This window comes from Homo sapiens, chromosome 11 (genome assembly GCF_000001405.40).
Source record: "Homo sapiens chromosome 11, GRCh38.p14 Primary Assembly".
Lineage (NCBI taxonomy): Eukaryota > Metazoa > Chordata > Mammalia > Primates > Hominidae > Homo > Homo sapiens.
Window position 1 is genome coordinate 57125817 of NC_000011.10, and position 25226 is coordinate 57151042.

The 25226-nt window shown below is 43.6% G+C and overlaps 1 long non-coding RNA gene across 1 annotated transcript in view; it reads right to left on the reverse strand.

The window, feature by feature from the left end:
- LOC105369309 (uncharacterized) overlaps nucleotides 1–25226 on the reverse strand; it is a 189617-nt gene that overhangs the window by 83807 nt on the left and 80584 nt on the right. The gene's annotated exons all lie outside the window — the stretch shown is intronic.

Consider the following 25226-nt stretch of genomic DNA (forward strand, 5'->3'; position numbering starts at 1 on the left):
GGGCTCCAGGCTTAGGCAGGTCAATAAATGAAGCAGGCCTGACCACAGATATTAGGCACCTGCAGCATGTATACAGTAAAGGCAGTAGCATATCTCATCATTCTGGTCTTCTGATTTGTTCCAGACACATCAAAAATCTGGACTTTTAAATAATGGCAATTAATGCAAAATTTTAAAAAATATTATATGATCAGAATAGAACACAGACCACAAGTTGTGGCCCCCGCACAACCCCATCCATCCTCCGCTTTAGATGTCAGTCATCCTTGCTCCCTGCCACCTCCCTAGCCATGGCTTATAGACCAAGTGACCCTTCCAGATTCATTTAGCATTTCTATTGCACTCAGTCTTACAGCTTCATTTCCACTCCTCTGCTATTCTTAAAACCGGATTCTGGGCCAGGAGCGGTGGCTCATGCCTATAATCCCAACATTTTGGGAGGCCAAGGCGGGTGGATAACATGAGGTCAGGAGTTTGAGACCAGCCTGGCCAACATGATGAAACCCCATCTTTACTAAAAATACAAAAATTAGCCGGGCGTGGTGGCATGTACCTGTAGTCCTAGCTACTCAGGAGGCTGAGGTAGGAAAATTGCTTGAACCCAGGAGGAGGAGCTTGCAGTGAGCCAAGATCACGCCACTGCACTCCAGCATGGGTGACAGAGGGAGACTCTATCTCAAAAAAATAAAAAGTTTAAAAATTTAAAAAATTAAAAAAACTGGATTCTAAACCAATAACAGCAGGACTTTCCCTCTAATTCAAGCTCCCTGTGGACTTTCTGTCTTGTCTTTATGCTTGGCAAGAGTGGTGTTCATTTTCAGAATGGTCTCCCAGAAGATCTTCTGTGATACATCAGTCGGGATGAGCTAGGTTATACTCTAGAAACAAATGGCATTAAAATCCCAGAGGTTTAAATTACAAAAATTCACTGCTTGTCCATGCCACAAGTCCACTGAGGGGCTTTGCTCCAAGCCACTTGGACTCAGGTTGGTGGGGCAGCCACTATCTGAAGTGTTACCACCATCATGTCAGAGTATGACAAATCGCACACTGGCTCTCAAACCTTTTTCCCAGAAGCAACACTTATATCTCTTCGACTCACATTTCATTTCCCAGAGCAGGTTACACAGCCATATCCAATTTCAAAGGAGATGAAGAAATGTCATTTTATCATGTTCCTGGAAGGCGGGAGGATGGAAGTGTCTGGTAGCACTAACTGATTACCACATATGGTATTTCCACTTTAGAGGGAGGTTTCTTAGTTAGTTCTACCCATTGGTTCCAAAGTCATTCATTTATTCATTTAACAGTAATAACTGAGCAAAGCCCTGAAGTGGGAAATCTAGGGACAGGAATAAGAACTGACCTTTACCTTCAAGCAGCTATGACTTATCTAGGGAACATCCACAGATCTGTGCCAATAATTTGTAAACAAGGTACACAGGAGGTGCCTCAGGCAAGTGTAAATGAAGTACTGAGCATAGAAAAGGCAGTAAACATGGGGACATTGGCATCTGGGCAAATCTTTGGAACAGGAGAAAGGTAGACATGAGCAGGAAGGACCTTTCCTCTCCCCTCCCACACCCAGGTAGCTGCACTGCCCATACGAAGCAAAATCCCTCCACCCGAATATTTGTGACCACAATGATAGATGAAAGTACCAAACAGGTACAACTTCCTGAATAACTAGTCCTACACCTGGGCATATGATGCAGGCAAAGAGAAATACACATCACATCAAAAGCAGTTCCCACCCCTACCTATGGGTCCAAGACCACAATAAAGCTCATTGCTTCAATTCAAACTTCAGCTCCTCCACTTACTTGCTACATGAACTTGGGCAAGTCATTGAGCTACCTGTGTCTGTTTCCTCATATGCAAAACGTAGGTAATAATGGTACCTACCTCAAAGGGTTGATATCAGAATTGAATGGGTTAATACAGGTAATGAGACAAGTAAAGGCAGGCCGGGCTCACAGTAGACATCATGTAAGTAGTGGCTAGCACCCTCATCCTGCCCTCGTCATTGTCTTGATATGATTGTCATCTTGTTGCTTCTCCCTCCTTCAACATCTCAGTTGCTTACTACAACTCCTAAAGTGTGTGTGCTTGGCATTGACTAAGACTGTTCTTACGTGGTCCATGGAAGGAGATTTCATCCTCAAAAAACATTAGGCAGAGGGAAGAGGGCTTTGTGCCCTCAGGGGTGGTCTACCTGAACACTATTGTGTACCCCATCTCTTCCTCATCACCAGTAAATTTCTAATAAATATCTCTTTTAAACTTTTATTTTAGGTTCGGAGGTACATGTGAAGGTATGTACACAAGTAAATTCGTGGGTTCGTTTTACAGATTATTTCATCAACCAGGAATTAAGCCCATTACCTAATGATTATCTTTTCCACTCCTCTCCCTCCTCTTACCCTCCACCCTTGAGTAGACCCCAGTGTCTCTTGTGTCCCGCTTTGTGCTCATAAGTTCTCATCATTTAGCTTCCACTTATAAGCGAGAACATGTGGTATTTGGTTTTCTGTTCCTGCGTTAGTTTGCTAAGGATAATAGCCTCCATTTCTATCCATGTTCTCACAAAAGACATGATCTCATTCTTTTTTACGGCTGTAAGGTATTCCATGGTGTATATGTACCACATCTTCTTTATTCAATCTGTCAATGAGCATTTAAGTTCAGTCCATCTTTGCTATTGTGAATAGTGCTGCTATGAACATTTGCATGCATGTGTCTTTATGGTAGAATGATTTATATTCCTCTGGTATACATCCCATAAAGGAACTGCTAAATCTCTTTCCATATATCCCCCACCCTGAACTACTCCGTGAACTTCTAGCCAGAGTCACATGTCCATTGGATGGGCCACAAAGCACAAATCCCACCAGATGGACCCTAAGGGAACAGAAGACTCATGTCCTACACTGTGCATGGCAGACTGCCTCCGGGATGAGCAGTGCACAAGGCAAAAACCCTGTTTGTTTTCTTTAATCCAGAATTTTCTGAGTTAAATTTCAACCAAGGTAACTTCGTTTTGCAAGTGATACATTTTGGGAAATATTCTGCAAAGGCAAAGAACTGTTTCTCATTCATCCACTTATCCACAGAAATGTGGATAATGCTCGGTGTATAACAGGCATGAGAAAAGAGTCAATAAATTGAACTGAATTTGTTATATAACCTCAGGAAAAATATTTCCTCCCTGGGCTTCAGTTTTCCCATTTCTATAATGAGAGAATTGGACTAGAGGGTTGCTAAGACCATTTCTATCCTCAGTTATGAGCCAATCTTTCAGTAGGTGTTTTTTTTCCTTGCCCTCTGCCTAGTTATTATTGAACTTCATTATTTTATTCAAGATGGGAGCAAAAGCAAAACTGTCAACCCCCAATAAGCAGGAAGCTAATAGAGGAAATGATCAAAGATGACATTTACTGTGTGCCAGCCACATTTCCGAATGATTAATAGGGATTGCTGTACCTAGTTGAAACAAGACCATTGGATAAGTATCATTATTAAAATCGTTCCCATTTTACTAACACATTGAGGCACAGAGACACTAAGCTACTGCTTAAGTAGCTCTACCTAGTTGCCAGAGATGGGATTTGAATCCAGGTAATTTGACTCCAAACCATTAGTCTACACTGCCTTTACACATGAGGTACAGGAACGCTTTGGATTCAGTCTAGCCCACTCTGTTTCATTGCTAAGAGATAATAAAAAGCCCTAAAAACTTAGTTAATTTCTTCAAGTTGGTTCAATATGTTGGCCAATGTGATATTTCTCAATTCCTTGACTGCACCTTTCTTTTACCCTCAGCTTTCATGAAAGAATGCAGGAAATAGCAACATTCCATGCATTTATTTTTATCAATTATCATCATAACAATAGTCATCTACAGCATTTCTAGGAAGTTCTTTCTTATCCATCATTGGATATGATTTTCACCCAAGCCACATGAGAGGCACAGAAAAAAAATTGCCATGTCAATTTTACAATCAAGGAAACAAGCTACAAAAAGTGAGGAAGTTTGCCTAAGACTCCACACCAATAAATAAATTGTGGATCTTGTATTTGAACCTTGTCTTTGGATCTCAGCTAGGAAGTACTCAAGGGCTCAACCTGATCCAGGGCATTTGGCTCTCAAATTTGGCCCCAGATTGGGGGTGGGGAGTGTCAGAGTTTGTGAAGATATAGGTGTAAACTCAGAGGGAAATGGAGAGCCTGGAGCCAGGAAGAGAAACCTAGCTTGACAACCTCAGCAAGAGGGGTGAGGAAGCGGGAGGATGCATTAGGGGGTTAAGGTGCTTTCTTTGCACCTGCTCTTTTGTTGCTTCCTACTCACTAAGCCTCTGCCTCTTCAAGTCACTTATCTCTCCACCATCTTAGCCACCTCGTAAATCATGGACCTGGGATGGTTTATGCATTCATTGAGTGCCTACAATGGTGCCAGGCCACTGAATCAGGCACAACAGACACTGAGATGTAATAGACACAAATCATTGAATCCAGGGAAGATGTGATGGAGTCAGGCTCAGGAAAGACCTGCAGAGGTGGTATATTTGAGCTGAGTCTGGACTGGTATGCAGGAGGTCTCAGATCAAAATTAAAGACTAGCAGTTGACGCCAGTCTGGTCTTGGAACCATAGGTAAGGGTAGAGGCTATTTTGGATGTGACATGTATTTCTCTTTGCTTGCACCCTATGCCCAGGCTTAGGACTAGTTATTTAGGAAGTTGTACCTGTTTGGTACCTCTTTGGTACAGAAGGTGATTTGGGCCAGAATCAAGGTGTGGAAAAGAGTGTTCCAGGCAGAGGGAATAACATGGGCAGGATTTGTAACCTTTTTGATTGAAGCACAGGATGCACAGAGCTGAAGTTAGAAAGCAGGTAACAGCCAGATCCTGATGGGCCTTGAAGTCTAGCCTAAGCCATTGGACTTTATCTTTCAGGCAATGAGGGAACTCTGAATGCTAAATGCAGCTCCCCATTTTTGCTGTCCTGCTCCTCTCATACCAAGTCCTCCCCAGGACTTAGAAACTAATCCAGAAATTCTCATGGAAATTAGATAGGAAAGTGAAGATAAAAGACGAGAGAAAAAGTATCACTTCCCTTGGTCAAAAAAGTAAGGAACAGATGCATCATCCCATGGAGAAGGGTGCCACCAGGAGTAGGCAGAGGTCTCCGCCCCTTGCCTGGAGCCCAGGAGACTTGTAGTGGCAGGTCCTCAAGACAGACCCTCCCCACTACCCTCCCTGTGACTTTCTGTATTGAAATGAATGTGAGTGCTCATCCAGACATCACTGCAAATGCAGTCAGTCTCCCCATCTAAAACAATGAGTGCATGTGGATGGTGAGCATCAGTGAGCAACACAGAATAAAGACTGATCCCATCCCTTCCAGCCTCAGGGCAGCAGTTATGCCAAGTGCTATGCATGAACCTGGCACAGGGAGGCAGTGTGAGCTCATGGTCAGCCTCAGCCTGGACACCTTGGAGCAGGTGATTGAGGGCAGACAAAAGAGGGAATGGACCCAGATAACACAAGTGCGAGAAAAGGGAGGGGCATTTTCTACAACCAATTTATCAAAACGTGCTTTAATATAAGAGGTCTCCCTCTAGGACATACCTTTAATCCATGAATCCAGTCCTTTCAATCTTATAACAGGCCCTTGACAAGCAAAACTCCATGAAAGTTCTCAGTCCTTGATCATTTCCTTGGACTAGTGCTTAATATCCACTGTGGCCTAGCCCCAGCCTGCTTTCCTCCACATGCTGGTACTCACGCCAGTCTCTCTTCCCCATCCAGGCTCTCGTCTGTGCCTCTGTCCACACTGTTCCCTCCACCTGGAACAGCCTCTTTCAAAAGACCTCTCCCCTATTTCTGATCTAACTCAAATGTCGCCAACACCATGAAGCCGTTCCTGACCTACTTTCCACGAAGACAGAACTAAGCTCACTCGCTCTCTGTCTTTCTCGGCCACTTGCTACCATCTACCTTATGTGTCAGTGATTTGTATACATGGGCAGAAACTCTACCTCAGTGTTGCCATAGAGTATTCAGGATGTGAGCCCTGTTCACAATAACTACTCAATGCATGTACAAAATAAGAGGTTAAATTCTGTCTGAGGAATGGCCAGAGATGTCCCTGATTCTCGAGGGAGCTTCAGTTTTCCAATCTAGAGAACTTTAAGAAAAAGGGATAGATCAACTGGGAACTGGTTAACTAAATCATAGTATACAGGCATACCTCATTTTATTTCACTTTGCTTTATTGTACCTCATAGATATCACATTTTTAAGAATTAAAGATTTGTGACAGTTAGTCAAGTTGTGAATGCAAAAGAAAAGTTCTTAGCCAGACATGGTGGTCCATGCCTGTAGTCCTAGCAACTTGGGAGGCTGAAGCAAGAGGATCTCTTGAGCCCAGGAGTTTGAGGCTGCCATGAGTTATAATCACACCACTGCACTCCAGCCTGGGCAACAGAATGAGACCCCATGTCTAAAAAAGAAAAGGAAAAAAAAAAGTTCTCAGAAGAAATTAAAAGTTGCTTCCTGATCAGGATAGTGGTTGCTAAAGGTTGGGGTGGCTGTGGCAATTTCTTAAAATAAGACAACAATGACTGGGCACAGTGCCTCAGGCCTGTAATCCCAGCACTTTGGGAGGCTGAGGTGGGTGGATCACGAGGTCAGGAGCTCGAGACCAGCCTGACCAACATAGTGAAACGCTCTGTCTACTAAAAATACAAAAATTAGCTGGGCATGGTGGCACGCACCTGTAATCCCAGCTACTCAGGAGGCTGAGACAGGATAATCACTTGAACCCAGGAGGCGGAGGTTGCAGTGAGCCGAGATTACACCACTGTACTCCAGCCTGGGTGACAGAGCAATACTCCATCTCAAAAAAAAAAAGACAACAATGGAGTTTCCCATATCAATTATATCAATTGACTTTCGTTTTCACAAAGATTTCTCTGTAGTATGGGATGCTGTTTGATAGCATTTTACCCGCAGTCAAACTTCTTTCAAAATTGGAGTCAATCCTCTAAAAATCTGCCACTGCTTTAATAACTAAGCTTATGTAATATTTCAATCCTTTGTGATCATTTCAACAATGTTCACAGCATCTTCACCAAGAGTATATTCCAACTCAAAAACTCACTTTTTTGGCCAGGCGAGATGGCTCGTGCCTGTAATCCTAATACTCTGGGAGGCCAAGATGGGCAGATCACCTGAGGTCAGGAGTTTGAGACCAGCCTGGCCAACATGTGAAACCCCATCTCTACTGAAAATACAAAAATTAGCCGGGCTTGGTGGTGGTGCATGCCTGTAGTCCCAGCTACTCAGGAGGCTGAGGCAGGAGAATTGCTTGAACCCAGGAAGCAGAGGTTGCAGTGAGCTGAGATCACACCACTGCACTCCAGCCTGGATGACAGAGCATGACACTGTCTCAAAGAAAAAAAAAAAAAAAAACTCACTTTTTTATTCTTCTGAAAGAAGCAACTCTTCATCCATTCAAATATTATCATAAGATTGCAGCAATTCAGTCACATCTTCAGGCTCCACTTTCACTTCTAGTTCTCTTACTATTTCCACCAAATCTGCAGTTGTTTCCTCCACTAACATCTTGAACCCCTCGAAGGAAACTATGACAGTTGGAATCAGCTTCTTCCAAATTACGGCTAATGTTGATATTTTGATCTCCTCTCATGAATATGAATATTTTTAATGCCATCTGGAAGGATGAATCTTTTTAGAAGGTTTTCAATTTACTTTGCCCAGACCCGCCAGGGGAATCACTATGAATGGCTGCTATAGCCATACATAATATATGTCTTAAATAATAAGCCTTGAGAGTCAAAATTACCCCTGGATTCATGCACTGCACAGTGAACATTGTGTTACTGGGCTTGAAAACAAGATTAATTGCCCTGTACATTTCCATTAGAGCTCTTGAGTGTCTAGGTGTATTGTCAGTGAGCAGTAATATTTTGAAAGGAGTCTTTATTCTGAGCAATAGGTCTCAACAGTATGACTAAGATATCTAATAAACCATGCTATAGACAGATGTGCTGTCATCTAGGCTTTGCAGTTTCATTTATGTACAGCACAAGCAGAGTTGGTTTAGCATATTTCTTAAGGGCCTTAGGATTTTTAGAATAGTAAATGAGCACTGGCTTCAACTTAAAATCACCAGCTGCAGTAGCCACTAACAGCAGAGTCCACCTGTTCTTTGAAGCTTTGTAGCCAGCCGTTGACTTCTCCTCTATAACTATAAAAGTCCTAAATAGCATCTCTTCCATTAAAAGGCTGTTTGATCTACATGGAAAATTTGTAAATTTAGTGTAGCCACCTTCATCAATTATCTTATCTAGATTTTTTAATAATTTGCTGTAGCTTCTGTATCAGCATTTGCTACTTCACAGTGTATTTTTATGTTACGGAGATAACTTCTTTCCTTAAACCTATGAACAAATCTCTGCTAACTTCAAACTTTTCTTCTGCAGTTTCCTCACCTCTCTCAGCTTTCACAGAATGGAAGAGACTTGCTCTGGATTAGGCTTTGGCTTGAGGTAGTATTGTGTGGCTAGTTTGATCTTCTATCCAGACCACAAAAACTTCCTCCACATCAGTAATAAGGCTGTTTTGCTTCCTTATGATTCGTGTGGTCACTGGAATAGCACTTTTAACTTCCTTCAAGGACTTTTTTTTTTTTTTTTTTTTTGCATTCACAACTTGGCCAACTGTTTGGTATGACAGGCCTAGCTTTCAGCATATCTCAGCTTTTGACATTAGTGAAAGCTTTGGACATTCATGAAAGACATTAGTGAGCCTTGCTCACTAAGCTTAATCATTTCTACCTTTGATATAGAGTAAGAGACGTACAACTCTTCCTTTCACTTGAACACTTAGAGGCCCTTGCAGGGTTACTAATTGGCCTCATTTCAACTTTGTTGTGTCTCAGGGACTAGGGAGGTCCAAGGAGAGGAAGAGAGATGTTGAATGGCCAGTCAGTGGTGTAATCAAAACACTCACGACTTGTATGGATTAGTGTTGTATACGGGCATGGTTTGTGGTGCTCCAAAACAATTACAGTAATAACATCAATGATCACTGATCACAGATCACCGTAACAGATAAACAATAACGAAAAAGTTTGAAATATTGAATTACCAAAATTTGACAGAGACACACAGTAAACACATGCTGTTGAGAAAATGCCACCAATAGACTCGCTTGATGCAGGGTTACCACAATCCTTCTATTTGTAATGAAAACACAATATCTGAGAGGCATAATAAAGCGAAGCGCAATGAAAGAAGGTATACTTGTATGTCAGTAATAGCATAGAAGATGGGTTTAGATAAGTGCTGTCTTTCTGTTGTAAGATTCTTGCATTTCACAGGAAGTGATGCAATATTAGTTAAAGGTAGACTTGATAAATTAAGAATATGTATATTGCCTGGAGCAGCACTAAAAAAATACAAAAAAAATAGTTAAAAAGTCAATAGAGAAATTAAAATGGACAGCTACAAAATATTTGATTATCCCAAAGAAGGCAGGAAAGGAGGGAAAGAGGGACAAATAAACACATGATACAGAAAGCAGTCAAATACCAGTAAAGTATATTGAGAAACTGACAATATTATTAATTATTCTAAATGTAATAATATTGGGACTAAAGCCTCCAATTAGGCAGGAGAGACTTCTGGTTTGGCAAAATGAAGAGGTCAGCAAATCTTCTCCCCAAAAAGCAACTATATATACTAAAATCAAAACTGTCAAAAACAATGATTCAGAGCTCTGAAAATCAAACAGAGCCATACAGCAAATAAAGTTTGTATTCATGAAAAACTGCTAAATTTGGGATAAGAACTGCAGGAGTTTGTGGTATTCAAGCTTCAGACTGAAGCTGCTTTCATCCTCCCCATCCCCATCCAGCTTGGTCGGCAGGGTAGTTCTAGCCCAATGGGACTGGCTGTGAAAACCAGCAACTTGCTGCAGAGAGGACTCACTTGGTTTGGAATGGGAGGGAAAAAAAAATCCATATCCATCATCCCTGTCAGTAATGCTAGCAATCTTCGTGACCAGTAAACTGGGAAAGCCAACAACTCTACTAACCTGAGATTGCAGTCCTGGTGGAAGACTAACCAGAAAGTTAACAAGGAGATTCAGGAAACCAGATAGTCCTAAAGGGGCTTCACAGATCCCTGGTGCACGAGGATGCAGAGCACATGCAGAGAAGATGAAAGATGGCCTACCTGAGAGTAACGGCCAGGGCTGACCTGAAAACTTCCTGAACTTTGATAACCCACACAGATCTGATAGAAGTGTATGGAAGCCTCACTAGCTTGAGGTGTGTGGTAGGCAGAATAAAGTCCTCTCTTCCCCGCCCCCCCACAAAGATGTTCAGGTCTGATCCTATAACTTGTGACTATGTTAAGGGCATATGGGACTTTGCAGACGGGATGAAGGTTAAGGACCCTGAGATAGTTTATCTTGGATTATCCTGGTGGGCCCAATCTAGTCACAGGACTCTTTAAAAGCAGGCTTTGAAGATGGAGAACATAAGCCATAGACAAGCAAGGTTAATGCCGTCTAGAAATTGGAAAAGGCAAGGAAACTGATTCTTCCCCAGAGCCTTCAGAATGGAATGCAGCCTTAGCTGGGCACAGTGACACACCTGTAATCTCAGCACTTTGGGAGGCTGAGGTGGGTGGGTCGCTTGAGGTCAGGAGTTGGAGACTAGCCTGGCCAACATGGTGAAACTCCATCTCCACTAGAAACACAAAAATTAGCCGATATAGTGGAGGGTGCCTGTAATCCCAGCTACTTGGGAGGCTGAGGCATGAGAATCTCTTGAACCTGGGAGGCGGAAGTTGCAGTGAACCAAGATCGTGCCACTGTACTCCAGCCTAGGCAACGGAGCACGACAAGAAGAAGAAGAAGAAGGAGAAGGAGAAGGAGGAGGAGGAGGAGGAGGAGGAGGGGGAGGGGGAGGGGGAGGGGGAGGGAGAGGGAAGAGAAGGAGAAGGAGAAGAAGAAGGAAAAGGAGAAGAAAAGAAGAAGAAGAAGGAGGAGGAGGAAGAGGAAGGAGGAGGAGGAATAGGAAGGAGGAGGAGGAAAAGGAAGGAGGAGGAGGAGAAGGAGGAGGAGGAGGAGAAGGAGGAGGAGGAGGAGAACAAGGAGGAGGAGGAGGAATACAGCCTTGCCAATGCCATGATTTTAGCCCAATGATTCCCAAAGAGGACTAAAATAGTAAGTTTATTTTGTTTAGACACTAAGCTTGTGGTACATGTCAGCAATAGAAAAACTAATACAAGGTGTTTGATCACAACCTGTGACCAAACATCAGCTGACTCCTAAACTATGAAGAAAATAGAAGCAACCCCTAGGAATTCAGGCTTAAAATAAAATAGTTTTTTTACAAACTGAGGAAAGACATCAGTAGCAACACATCACAAGGAAGACAGTATCCACAGATTTAGTCCAGGTAAGCTACTAAACAAACAAGCAGCAACAATAACCATTCCCAGGAGGCATCGCAGTCCAGAACTGCTACAATATATTACCTACATTATCCAGTTTGGAACAACAAAAAGCTATGAGACATGCAAAGATATAGGAAAACATGATCCACACTCAGTAAAAAAAATTTAGTCAATAGGAATGGTCTCTGAGTGGGCCCAGATGTTGGATTTAGCAGACAAAGTCTTTAAAACCAATAATTATGTTCAGAGAACTAAAGGAAACAATGTTTAAAAAATCAACAAAAATATGAATCAATGACTCAACAAATAAAGAATCTTAATAAGGAGATGGAAGTCATGCAAAAGAACCAAATAAAATTTTAGAGTTGAAAAGTTCAGTAACTTTCTAAAATGAAAAAGTTAATGTTTTTAGTATTGTTGTGGTGAGCAACCAACAGACTTTAGATGACGGAAGAAAGAATCAGTGAACTTGAAGACAGATTAATGGAAACGATCCAATACAATAGAGAGAAAGAAACAAATACTGAATAAAGATAAAAAGAGCCTCAAGAGACCTGTTCATGTCTCATGTGTCACACATGTTCATGTTCATGTGTAACACTGTACTCATTTCCTAGGGCTGCTCTAACAAAGTACCACAAACTGGATGGCTTAAAATAACAGACATTTATTATCTCACAGCTCTAGAGGCTAGAAATCCAAAATCAAGGTGTTAGTAGGCCTATACTCTCTAAAGACTCTAGGGGAGAATCCTTTCTTGCTTCTTCTAGCTTCTGATGGTTGCTGGCAATCTTGACATTCCTTGGCTTGTAGACTCATCACTGCAATCACATGTTCTTCTCCCTATGTGTCTTTACATCATCTTCCCTCTGTGCATGCCTCTGTGTCCAAATTTCTTTCTTCTTATAAGGAGAGCAGTCATTGGAATAGGGCCCAACCTAATCCATTATAACCTCATCTGCACTTGACTTACATTTGCAAAGACCGTATCTCCAAATAAGGTCACATTCTGAGGTTCTGGGTAGACATGAACTTCTGCGGGCACTACTTAACCCAATAGGGATATCATCAAGCATCCCAACATACTGTCAAAACAGTCCCAAAGCAGCAGCATAGTGGCTAACAGGGATATAGGAATCGCTACTGCAGTTTACCACAATTTCATAGATTAGGCCAGTAAAAAGACAATAAGCTCAAATGGATTCAGACAGTTTATTACTTATACTGATGAAAAATCAGTCAGCATAATGTTAGCTTCCTATGTCCTAGCTCCACAAGACACCACCAAGTGAGAGGGGCCAGATAACAGGATGCTCAGGCAGTGGGTGGCTGTGCTATTGAGGGGCTCCTTCTAAATACAGCCAGCAAATTAATAGACATACACAGAAGTCAGCAGCTCTACTCTAAGTGGGTCAAGGTGGAAAGTCATGTCCTCCTCTGAAACAAGGGGGTGGATAAAACCAGCCTTACATCTTTCTCCTGCAAACTAAGGAGATGCGGATAAGCTTCTTCATGGCAGCTCCCCATAAGACTGCTTATCCCCCTCATTACATGAGGAATAGCAAGGTGTTTTACCAAGACTTGGGTCAAATTACAGTTAAGCATTGCTTCTATGTCCTATGTGGGCATGTACTGGGGTGGCAGGGCACCACCCCAGAGCTATTCCTCTACACATAGATGTAATAGGAGTCCCAGAAGGAAAGGAGAGAGAGAAATAGGCAGAAAGCAGGGAGATGGGGATGTCTAATGGGTACAAAAAAAAATAGAAAGAATGAACGAGACCTACTATTTGATAGGACAATAGGGTGACTATAGTCAATAATAACTTAATTATATATTTTAAAATAACTTCAAGAATGTAATTGGATTGTTTGTAACTCAAAAGATAAATGCATTAGGGGATGGATACCCCATTATTCGTGATATACTTATTTCACTTTGCATGCCTATATCTAAACATCTCCTGTACTCCATAAATATATACACCTATTATGTACCCACAAAAAAAATTTAATAATAAACTTAAAAATAAAAAAAGAAAGAATGGGCAAAACTCTCCAAGGAATGCCAAAGAGATAAAAACAAAGTGATTCACACCCAGACACATCATAGTCAAATGGTTGAATGACAAACACAGAGAAAATCTTGAAAGCAGCAAGAGGCCAGCACAGTGGCTCACTCCTGCACTGTAATCCCAGCACTTTGGGAGGCCTAGGCAGGCAGATTGCTTGAGCCCAGGAGCTTGAAACCAGCCTGGGCAACATGGCCAAATGCCACCTCTACCAAAAGAAAAATACAAAAATTAGCCAGGCATGGTGCCATGCACCTGCAGCCCCAGCTACTTGGGAGGCTTGAGGTGGGAAGATTGCTTGAGCCCATGAGGTGGAGTTTGCAGCGAGCCAAGATCACACCACTGCACTCCACCTTGGGTGACAAAGCCAAACCCTGTCTCAAAAATAAAATAAAATAAGAAAGCAACAAGAAAAGTAATTTTACTCATCTCATACAAAAGAACAACAAAATGATTAATAACAGATGTCCCATCAGAACAACTGAAGCCAAAAGGCAATGAAAAGACATATTCAAAGTCCTGAAAGACAAACAATTGTCAACCAAAAATTCAATAATCAAGTGAACAATTTTTGCCTATTAAAGGTGAAATGAAGACAATTCCCAATAAATTAAGACTGAGAGAATTCACTGCTAGAAGACCTGTCTTCTAAGAAATATTAAAAGTAGTCCTTTATGCTGAAGAGAAATGACACCATATGGTAACTAGAATTCACCAGAAAAAAAGCACCAAAAGTGGGAAGTATGTGGGCAAATATAAGAGACATACAATCACATACATAAAAGACACAAAAATTCAAAAATAAATAAATAAAACAAAAATATAAAAAATACAAATACATATATTTTTCTCTTCTTTTAACTTCTTTAAAAGATATGTCCTTATATAGCAATAATTACAACATTGAGTTGCTGTATGGATTCTGACATATATAGATGTCATATGTGTCTAAATAATACCACAAAGGAAGGGAAGGATACGGAGTTATATTGGAGAAAAGTTTCTGTATTTTACCAAAATTAAGTTAGTATTAATCTGGAGTTTTCATTAATTTATCTTAATATTATGACAAATAAAAATTTACATTCTAATCACTGGATAAACCACTAAGAAAGTAACTCAAAAAATAGTTTTTAACCCGTTAAGCAGCAGAGATTGACAGACTAGTAAAAAAGCAAGATTCAGCTATATGCTGACTACAAGGGGTACACTTTAAATACAAAGGCATATTGTTCATAAGGAGAAGGATAAAAAAGATATGCAATACAAATACAAGGTACAAAAAAGCTTCTGTGATTCTATTAATGGCAGACAAAACAGACCAGAATATTACCAATTCTCCCAGGTAGAGGTAAGAGCCTCAGCACTAGAGAAAGCGAAACCTACATCTGAGCCCTGCTCAACCCCTTACCAGCTGGGAGACATTGGGCAAACAATGGTTATAAGACCTATAGCATACTAAGCACTTTACATAAATTATCTCTAATCCTCACAAACCCTACAAGATTAATATTATTATCCCCATTTTTCCCGCTATATAATAGCTCAGTAGATAACAGACACATCACTTATAGTAATTATTATTATTTCTAATTGTTCAGTAAGTTCTTATGTGCAAGGCACTGTCCTAGGCACTAGGATACAGTGGAAACTAAGATAGACAAACTCCTTAATTTCAGAGTTTATTTCTAGTGGAGTGGAAACAACCAGAGGAAAATAATAATAATTTTAATTAGAGAGTAGTAAGTACAATGCATAGATTTAAAGTGGAGCAATGTGATGGAATAATTGGCTGGGTAATCCAGTTAAGAAAGTTATTTACATGAAAATATAAATTACACAAGACAACCACATGAAGACCAGGGAAAATAGTAGTACAGGTGAAGGTGACAGTGCATAGGCCCTGGGGTAGGAACGAGCTTGGTATATTGGAGAAAAGTCGCAGTGGCTGAAGGTGTGATGTGGCCATCGGGGGAGTAATATGATGGGTGATTAGAAACGGACGTATGCAAGGCTCTGCAGACCAGAGTGGGGCATCCACATGTTACTCCATGTAATGGGAGGCCACTAGAGGGTTTTATGTCAGTTAGTGATACAATGTGATGTACATTTTAAAAGAACATTCTCACTTCAGAAAGGAAAATAGAGTACAGGGCAGCAAGAACAGAGGCAAGGAGACCACTTTGGAGTCATTGTGGCAGTCCAGGAGAAAGAGGTGGCGGGTTAGGTGGAGAAAAGTGGGAAAGTTTGGGATGAATTTTGGAGGTAGAGCTACCTTGGTGATGGACAGGGCATGGGGTGCGAGCAAAGAAAGACAGGAATCAAGAATGACTCTTAGGTTTGGAGCTTGTGCAACTGGGTGGAGGGCGGTGCTGTTTACCAAGAAGGCGAAGTCTGGAGGAGGAATAGGATTGCTCAGGGAATGCAATAGAGGTTGAGGAAGGGGGTGAAATAACGGGTCCTGTTTTAACTCCATTAGATTTGAGAGACTTATCAGGCTTCTTAAACTATTACTAGGTCTACCCAACAATATAAAGATGACCAAAACAAAATTCCCATCTTCCAGGAACTCACAAGTCTAGTAGGGGAGAAAAAAATGGGTACATATCCATTCAAGAAAACCTGTAGGTACTTTATAAAAGAGGTAATATGTACCTGTGTGGTAACCAGGATCCAATAGATTGGCAGGGCATCTGGGAAGCCTCCATAGGGTGTAGATAGGTTCAAAGTTTGGTTTCCAAGTATGGGTGAACCTGAACAAGCAGCCCTGGAGTGGGATAGATTCTAGGAGAGGGGAGAAACTTAAACTGAGGTTCTCCAGAAGTGAGCCACACTCAAGGAAGGTTTGAGATGTATTAGAGGTGGATGAGGGGAGGCCCTGAAAAAGCAAGTTATATTCACATTTGAAAGACTTTGAAGGCAGGCTGGGGTGGTGGGTTTTATCTTGTGGCCTAGAGTGGATGGGGAGATACAGAAGACTTTTTAGCAGAAAAGTGACCATCTTAGAGGTATGTGTTAAGGTCACTCTGACAACAGTCTTTGAAAAGTAGGTGATGGATGGCAGAAATGAGGGACAAAGAACAAGAAACAAAGCAGGAAGCTGGTTCAGAGATTATCCTACAGTCTAGGCGAGGGGTAGGGACAGCATTAGGAATGAAAATGAGACGAATGAGACACGATGGAGGTTAAGTGATAGGATTTGGTGATTGATTGGATGTGGAAAAACAAGTCTTAGATAACTCTGAGACTCAGCATGAGTGTCTGGGAGAACCATGGTACCATGATCCAAGATAAGGGACCTGGGAGCAGGAAAAAGAAGGGGAAGAAAATGGGGAGCAAGGGAGACAATGAGTCTGATTTTGGTCATGTTCAGCTGGAGGTGCCAATGGAACATCAGTTTTCAAGTAGAAATGATACGTCAGTAGATGAACATTTTGGCCCATGATTGGGAGATGCAGCTGACCTCAAAGTAAAGATTTGGGAGTCCTTGGCACCAGTAATAATAATGTATTGTGCATCAGGAGCTGATTTAATCCTTTACATAATTATCTCATTTCCTCCCCCATGACAGCCCCATGAGGTGGGTGTGATTATTATTGGCATTTTGCAAATGAGAAAGCTGAAGTTCACGAAAGTTAAGCCCCTTGCCCAAAGTTACATACAAATGTAGTGGCAGAGTCAAGATTTGAACTTGTGCACTTGGTGCTGCTCTACATGGTAAAACTAGGGGGGAAGGAGGGAATGATGGAAGGCCCTGGAAAAGCAAGTTATATTCACATATGAAAGACTTCGAAGGCTTTCAGACTGGGGCCCACAGGATGCCCTCTTTGACTCTGCTCAAATGTCCATGGAATGTCAGGACTGAATGGACCTTAGGAATCACTGAGTCATTCTCTCAGGTCACGACTAGTAGTGACTAAAGCCCAGAGAAGGACATTGACTTACCCAAAGTCACAATGTATGTTAGGGGGAAAGTCAGAAGTGGAACCTGGATCTCCTGGCCTGTCCAGTGCTCTTTCCATTACACTGCATACCCTCCACTTGACCAAATGCACCCTGGCCTCATCCAGGTGAGCCTCCTACAGCCTTTCTCGTTACACTTGGTATAAATTCTGCAATCCAAGTTCTGCATGCTCTGGCCCCTCCACCTCTTCGACCTGATTATATCACTCTCCCTCTTTGTCATGAGGATGCAGCCCCACAAGCCAAGCACATGCCCTCCAAGGGCCTTCGTGTTTGATGTTTCCTCTGCTCTCAGATATTCTCCTAACTGCTTCCTTCTTATCATTAGGTCCCAGCCAAATGGCCACCTCCTTGCAAAAGCCCACTCTGACCAGCCAACCCAAAGTAACCAACCCTATCACTCACTGTCCTTGTACATGATTCTATGTTCTTCATGGCAGTTGTGGCTATCTCAAGTACCTTATTTATCTATGTGGTTGTTAATATTCATTCTCCTGGTCAGGCGTGGTGGCTCACGCCTGTAATCCCAGCACTTTGGGAGGCCGAGGCAGGTGGATCACGAGATCAGGAGATCGAGACCATCCTGGCCAACATGATAAAACCCTGTCTCTACTAAAATACAAAAAGTTAGTGCACGCCTGTAATCCCAGCTACTCAGGAGGCTGAGGCAGGGGAATCGCTTGAACCCGGGAGGTGGAGGTTGCAGTGAGCTAAGATTGTGCCACTGCACTGCAGCCTGGTGACAGAGCAAGACACTGTCTCAAAAAAAAAAAAAAATCATTATCCTATCAGAATGTACAGCAATCTTTCCTGTATTCTCCGAGCCTGGAACAGAATTTAGCAGTGGAACTGCTGAGTAGAGGAAGTACAGAAAGAAAGAAGGAAGGAAGGTACAAGGGAGGGAGCAAACCTTCCTTTGGACAGAGGAGGCAGTAGGGAGTTTGTCCAATGCCAGTGCCTTTATTCTCAAGAGACCCACAGCCAGACCCGGCCTCCTTGGAGCTCCCGCCTCTCCCGCCGTGATATTTGTATCTCATGGACTCAGAGTCATGGCCTGGGGAAAGCCATGGACTCACTTTCAGAATAGAGAGAATAAGATCATGCCAGATACCACAAACAGGCCTGGAATTCTGGGAGCAGAGGCACCAGGACTGCCCCCTGTCTCTGTCTGCCTCCCTCCACCCCTTTCTGCCCTCTTATCTACTTCTCCTTCCCCCTTTAATGCCCACATTCCCCATTCCCCATGGCCCATGGCTCATGCTGCCCCTTATCTGCTCCTCTCCTCCATCACCCGGCTCCCAGAAGGCACCTTTTCATCTTCCCCATTCTCTTATCTTGCCCTTATCCCAGGGTCCCCTGTATCTGCTTCCTTTTGCTCTCTGGCCCCTTATCAGATGTCCCTCTCTCCATCACACTTCCCTTATCTGCTCATCCCCTTGCCCACACGCACCGTTATTTTTATTGCCTTCTGGAAAGAGGCCCACAATAAACAGCAAGAGCGGAGAGTTTGCATTCCAGGCTCTGATGGACAGGCTGGGGGAGTGATTGTCAGGCCCTCAGAGCTGGGACTTCGACGCAGGCTTTGGAATCAGCCCCTGGTGGAATCCTGTCAGAGCTTCAACCATTTTTCATTATACTAACTAAGAGATGTTAGCAAAATGGTTTTAATCTATCTGAGCCTCATCTATAAAACACAGCTTGAGAATACCTCCCTCTGAGGGTCACTGGAGGCCAAGGATAGTGCAGGCCAAAAGGGGAATGCGGTGCAGAGCCTCTGGGCTTATTCGTCACTGCTGCAGCCATGCACCTGTGTGAACTCATGTTCTCCTCCTTGCAACCCTAGAAGGGAGAGCCTGTTATTGTTGACTTTCTGCAGATGATGGAGCTGAGACCCATAGAGGTTGACTGACTTTCTTGAGGTCACAAAATCGACCCCAGTTGGCACTGAGGGGATTCCCCACCATTTCTATACAGTGAAGCAGCTCTCGACATGGGAGGGAACCTCTCAGCACCCCCGCTGCACAACTGTCTGCCATGATTCTAAATTCCACAGCCAAGTGAAACCTGCAATGGCTTCCCCTCTCCTGGAACATCTGCCTGGTTCCCAGGACAGAGTAAAGGTGAGAACCAAGTTCCCTCTAAAGAAATGGGAGGGAAACTTCTTCCATTAGGACCTCAGGAAATGACTTCAGCAGCCCCACTTGGCCAGTTTTCTGGTGTTAATCATTTTCTCACACCAAGAACAACTCGTTGCCGCCTCCTGAGTCCTGCTCCCCCTGACTATAATTAGGGGTGTCACTTGGGTGTTGCTGTGGAAAGTGACACCAAAAGCCCTTCACACACCTGCTCTCGGTGGCAGCGGCGGGCCCCATCCTGGGCTCAACACACAACCAGCAGCTGCCAGTTTGCTAGATGGGAGGGGTGGGTATCACTGCACTGCATAATGGAGCAGCTACTGGCATCTGGAGCTGCTGGTGGCACGTCTGAGGCCAGTCTCAGGCCGCTAGGGAAAAACGTCCTCAGGGACCATAAACTGCAATCAGCTGCCTTATCTTTTGGGTGAGAACAATAAGGCTCAGAGAGAGAAAATGTCTTTCCAAAAGTCACACAGCACTAACTTCCTGGTATGAAAACCCAGATTTTCTGCCTTCCCAGCCTATGTTGCCCACATCCTTTCACATTTAGGACAGTAGTTCCTAATCAGGGGTTATTTTCCCCCGCTTGGGGAAACATTTGACGATGTTAGGAGACATTTTTGGTTGTCTCAACTTGGAAGGATGGGTAGTTAGAAGGGAAGGATGCCGCTAAATATCTTACAATGCACACGGCAGTCCTCTATAGCAAAGACTTATCCAACCCAAGATGTTCATAGTGCCATGACTGAGTAACTCTGTTTAGCAGCACTGCCACAGGGACTTGCAGCTCCCAAGCACATCACATGCCCTTTACAACTGAAATCAGGACGAAATGTATTGGTACACTGGCTCCCATGGGCTCCTATGTGACCCAGTGATTCCTAAGGAAGATAATTCCTGCCATTTCCCTACTTCTATGCCTTTGCTCGAGCGGTCCCCCTCTGAATGGGATGCTCTCCCTGGCCCTACTTATGCCACTCCTACTCATCCTTCCCACCCTGTTTGGTGTCACTGCCTCCAGGAAGGTGGCCCTGGTTTCTCCTGCTGGGAGTCATCTCTGAATCTCTGAACTCTAGGAGTACTTCAGCAATACCTCTTCTAACTCTTAGAAGAGTTCACCTTGTATTAGAGTTAAGAGGTAGTGTAAGTCTATATTAAGTTTGTGGGCTCTGGAGTCTGATGCCCTGAGTTCAAATCCCAGCTACCCTACCTCCTACTTGTGTGACTCGGAACAAGTTACTTAACCACTCCAGGCGTCCTATTCCTTGTCTGTAAAATGGGAGTGAGGATAGTAATAGCGCCTGTCTCATAGGATTGTTAGGAAAATATCATTAATTAATCCATGTAAAATGCAGTGCTTAATGCAATCTCTGACACATGGGTTGGTGTGCAATACATGTTAGCGATCATCGTGATGATCTAAGAATTAGTCTTGCCCAAACTACAGCATGGCCTCCTTCAACAAAGGACTCTAGAGTCCCACATCATTGTCATTTTACCTAAAACATGACCCTGCAAAGTATGGGCTTTCTTTTTAATGAAGGCAGATGAGAAATGGCAAGAGCAATGATACTTAATCCAGCTAAATCATGGTCACACTCGTGACACAGGGCCTCCTTCATGTCCAGCCTCCCTCAGTGCCTTTAAGAAGCTACGTCCACCCACACTGACAAAGAGGAAAAAGAAAAAAACCTCCTGATGCATCTCCCACCTTGTCTAATCACTGGGACACAAGCACCCTTTTGAGCATATTTAGGTTAAAAAAAAAAAATGATAACCCTACAGCAAGATCTCTCAACCACATCACTTTTGGGGCTGGATAATTCTATGCTGTGGGCACTTTCCTGTGCATTGTAGGATTCTTGGCAACATCTTTACCTCTACCCACTAAAAGTCATTAGCACCACCCTCTGCATGCACACACACAATTAAAAAAAGCCTCCAGATATTGCCAAGTGCCCCATGGCAGGCAAAATCACCCCAATTTGAGAACCACTGGTCTAAGCCATACATTCTCAGTGGGGGCAAAAATTGGTTCTCGGAGGACAAAAAAAAAAAATCTTATCTTCTCTATGTATAAAGCATAGATATATGTATAGTACACAAACAGGTATACAGTATATTTGTGGTAATAAAAATCCAGGGGACAGGGGATTAAGGGAGAGAAATGCGTAAAAATGTTCCTGGAGGAATGATCATGGAATCATAATAAGGCTGAGAAACACTGTTCTATACAAGTTATCCTTTGTAGAAAGTCATAAGCTGAATCAAACCATAGATTGTTAAATGGCTAATGATTATCATATCTGCCAACCTCTGTGCTAAGCCCTGTGCTCACAAAATCGGTACTTCTGCATCTGCTGTTTACAGGTGAAGGCCCTGAGAATTAGAAATGTCCTTTCACAGGACCTGAGTACCATGGCTATGAAAAGGCTTTATTTTCTGGTCCTTGAATCAAGTTATATAGTCTGAGAAAGGGTTTGGAGTCATCTTTTGGGAACAAGGAACACTTTTTTTTTTTTTTAGAACCCAAGGCAGGTCTGTCTGACCCCAAAGAGCTTGTGCTTGCCTGCTAGGCCACCGTGCCTATCATCTCAGCTTTGCTGGTTGCTGTACTCCTCAGTCACAGAGCCTTTCCCAGATCCCCACTCACTTGTTCACGTGTACCTAGGCCTTGCCTTGGGACCACCTGTGGTCTACAGGGCTTTGAGAAGATAGTAATGGCTAATTATCGCTGGCTGATTTTTCTGAGCTAGCTACCTGCATTACCTCCTGTTCTCCTCCCAGCAACCCTGTAAGATGGATGCTGTTGTTGCTAACTTTCTGCAAACAATGGATCAGAGACCCACACAGATGTAGTTACTTGCTCTAGGCAGAGCTGGGCGTTGAGTCCTAGCAGGATGGTTCCAGTGTCCGCAGCATGGCCACCATACCACAGGCCTCCCTGCCTTCCCCATACCCCCAGCACAGGCACCCAAGGATCCAGAGGACCTTGGAATTTTTCAAAATAATGTTAGTGTGTTGCGCTTCCAGGCTCCAATGGGCAGTGAAGAGCTTTGCCTGTCTGTCCACACACACCCTGGTCAGGAAGGTAGGGAAAGCAAGAAGATAGGAAGGAAATTCAGAAAATGGAGGAGGGAAAAGTGGGCCTGTGGAGGAGAAGAGGAAAGAGAACAAATGAGGGAAAGGGACAGGGAAGGAGACAAGCACTGATGACCTGGAATGAAGAAAAAGGAGTTAACAAAAAGGTAGCAGGGACCAGGAGCAGGAGCTCAGATGCTAGGATGAGAGGGGGAGGAGGGAGCTGCATTGCTGAGCTATTTTTATGAACCTGAGAGCGGCTGATTTACATCTTTAGCGTCTCCTTGCATATTGAGGTCAGAAGGTCTCAACTCCTCATGTGAGAAGGAATAAAAATTCATTAGTATAGCCTTCTGGAAGGCTCTTCAAGCACACCGTGTCCGGTTCTTCCCATGTGGAGGAAAGGGAAGGGGAGGAGGAGAGCCAACTACCGTGCAGCAAGGGTATCTTGCAAGGGTATCTCTGGAACTCAAGTGTGTGCCAGAGGAGGCAGCACTGGACTCAGAGTTAATGTCAGCAGGACACCAGTGCCACCACCTCCTCACTACATCTCCCTGAGCAGGTCACTGAGCCTCTGAGGCCTCAGTTACCTCATCCACAAAAGGAAGGAAAGTGGGCTAGAGGCCTGAAAGGAGCCGAATCAAGTTAAGCAAATCGCTCCATGAATTAATTCATAGGACAAGCTCATATCTCAAAGATAGTTGGAGGAGAAAGTGATTAGCAAGGCATTTCAGATGCCTTGCCCTTTGTTCTGAACCTTTGGTTACACAAAGGGAGTAAGGGAGGAAAAGAGGAAAGGAGGAAAGGAAGGAAGAGGGGAAGGAAGGAAGGAAGGAAAGAGGGAGGGAGGGAAGGAAGGAAGGAGGGAAGGAAGGAAGGAAGGGAGGAAGGGAGGGATGGAGGAAAAGAGGAAGGGTGGGAAACCGGGAAGCCTTCCCAAACTAACTTGTGCACTTGTCACTTGCATTATCCTCAAGTTGTCCTATGAAGTAGGTACTCATAAAATCCCCATTTACAGATGAGAAAACTGAGGTTTACTTGGTTAGGTTGCTTGCCCATACTCATGGTATTAGGAGAAGAGCTGTAATTTGAACCCAGTGCAATCTGAGACCATAGTTCACACTCCCAGCTATTACATTATACCAACCAGACAAGCACATGAAGATGAGCAATGAAGGAGAGCTTGGGCACATGGAATGGGAACAGGAATGACAGAAATCTCTCATTAGCCACATCATCTCTCCCCACTCCCTGCATATCTGCCCCATTAGCCTGGAGCAGATCAGTTTTGGGGGTTACTTGAGGCTCCTCTGTACTCTCCAAAACCTTTGGTTTATACACAGTTTTGATGTATCATGGCAGGAACTCTGACCCCAATTCTATGTGAGCTCTCAGTTCAAGCTAACTGACTTAGTGCTGTGTCGCTGAGTTCCAATTCTCCAGAGACAGGATGCAATTTGCCCAGCCCAGCCTGTGGACTGGTTCTCCTTGGGTGGCCTTTCAGATGTCCACCCCTGGTTTGCCTACGTGTGGCCTGGAGGCACAAGGACAAGGTGTCCAAACAGCAGAATTAGAGGCCACGGGCATACCAGGAGGGATAGAAGAAACTGTGGCAGGGAGCACTGGGTGGCTTCTCCAGGGAGGTCACTCTTAAAGGCCTCTGCTCAGGGCTGCCTTTGCTAGAATGGGGGTCAGAGTGTCTGAGTTTAAGCGCAGCTGAAGAAGAGAATACACAGTGCAGACAGAAGAAGTTCAACAAAAGAATAAGTGACTGCCTACATGGGAAGACAGGAAGAGCCTTCAGGGTCCTTGTCATAAAATATCTCCTCTGCTCGCCTGCCTAGTGCCTGAAGATCTACCATTTGATATTCCTGCAGAACCTCATTCAGGTCCTTTAAGCTCCTTCCGTGTAAAAAGCATGAAGGTCAGCCATAGACATTTTGCTCTGATGACAGAATATCAAGGTTATTGGGTGATTGTGGGAGTATACATGAAGGTCAGAGCAGAAACTGATGGTTATCTCCCTGATATCTATTCTCCTTTTCTTCTATAAACAGACTTCTTATCTGGATGCGTGGCCACCCAGCTAACCATTATCTTTTCTAATCTTCCTTGCAGACTAGCTGTGGCCAAATGCTTGGATTGAGGCCAGTGAGTTATGAACAGAAGCCATGGGTCAGGCCTTAAAAGGGAAGAAGCATGCTCTCACCTCCCCTTAGCTCCTGCTTGCTGGACAGAGCCCCGTGGTAGTGGGAGCTGAATCAGCATCTCAGCCACTAGATGGAATGTATATTTGGAGGATAGCAAAGCAACAGGATAGAAAGAGTGAGCTGCCCAGGGCCACGGAGCCAGTGTGTCAGCCCTGGGCTGCCTGTGCTCATACTGTTACATGGGTGAGGCATAAACTTCCTTATTATAAGCCAGGATTATTTGACTCTTGATGTAGCAATCAATGTCTTTCCCCACCTCAGGTAACGGCGTCC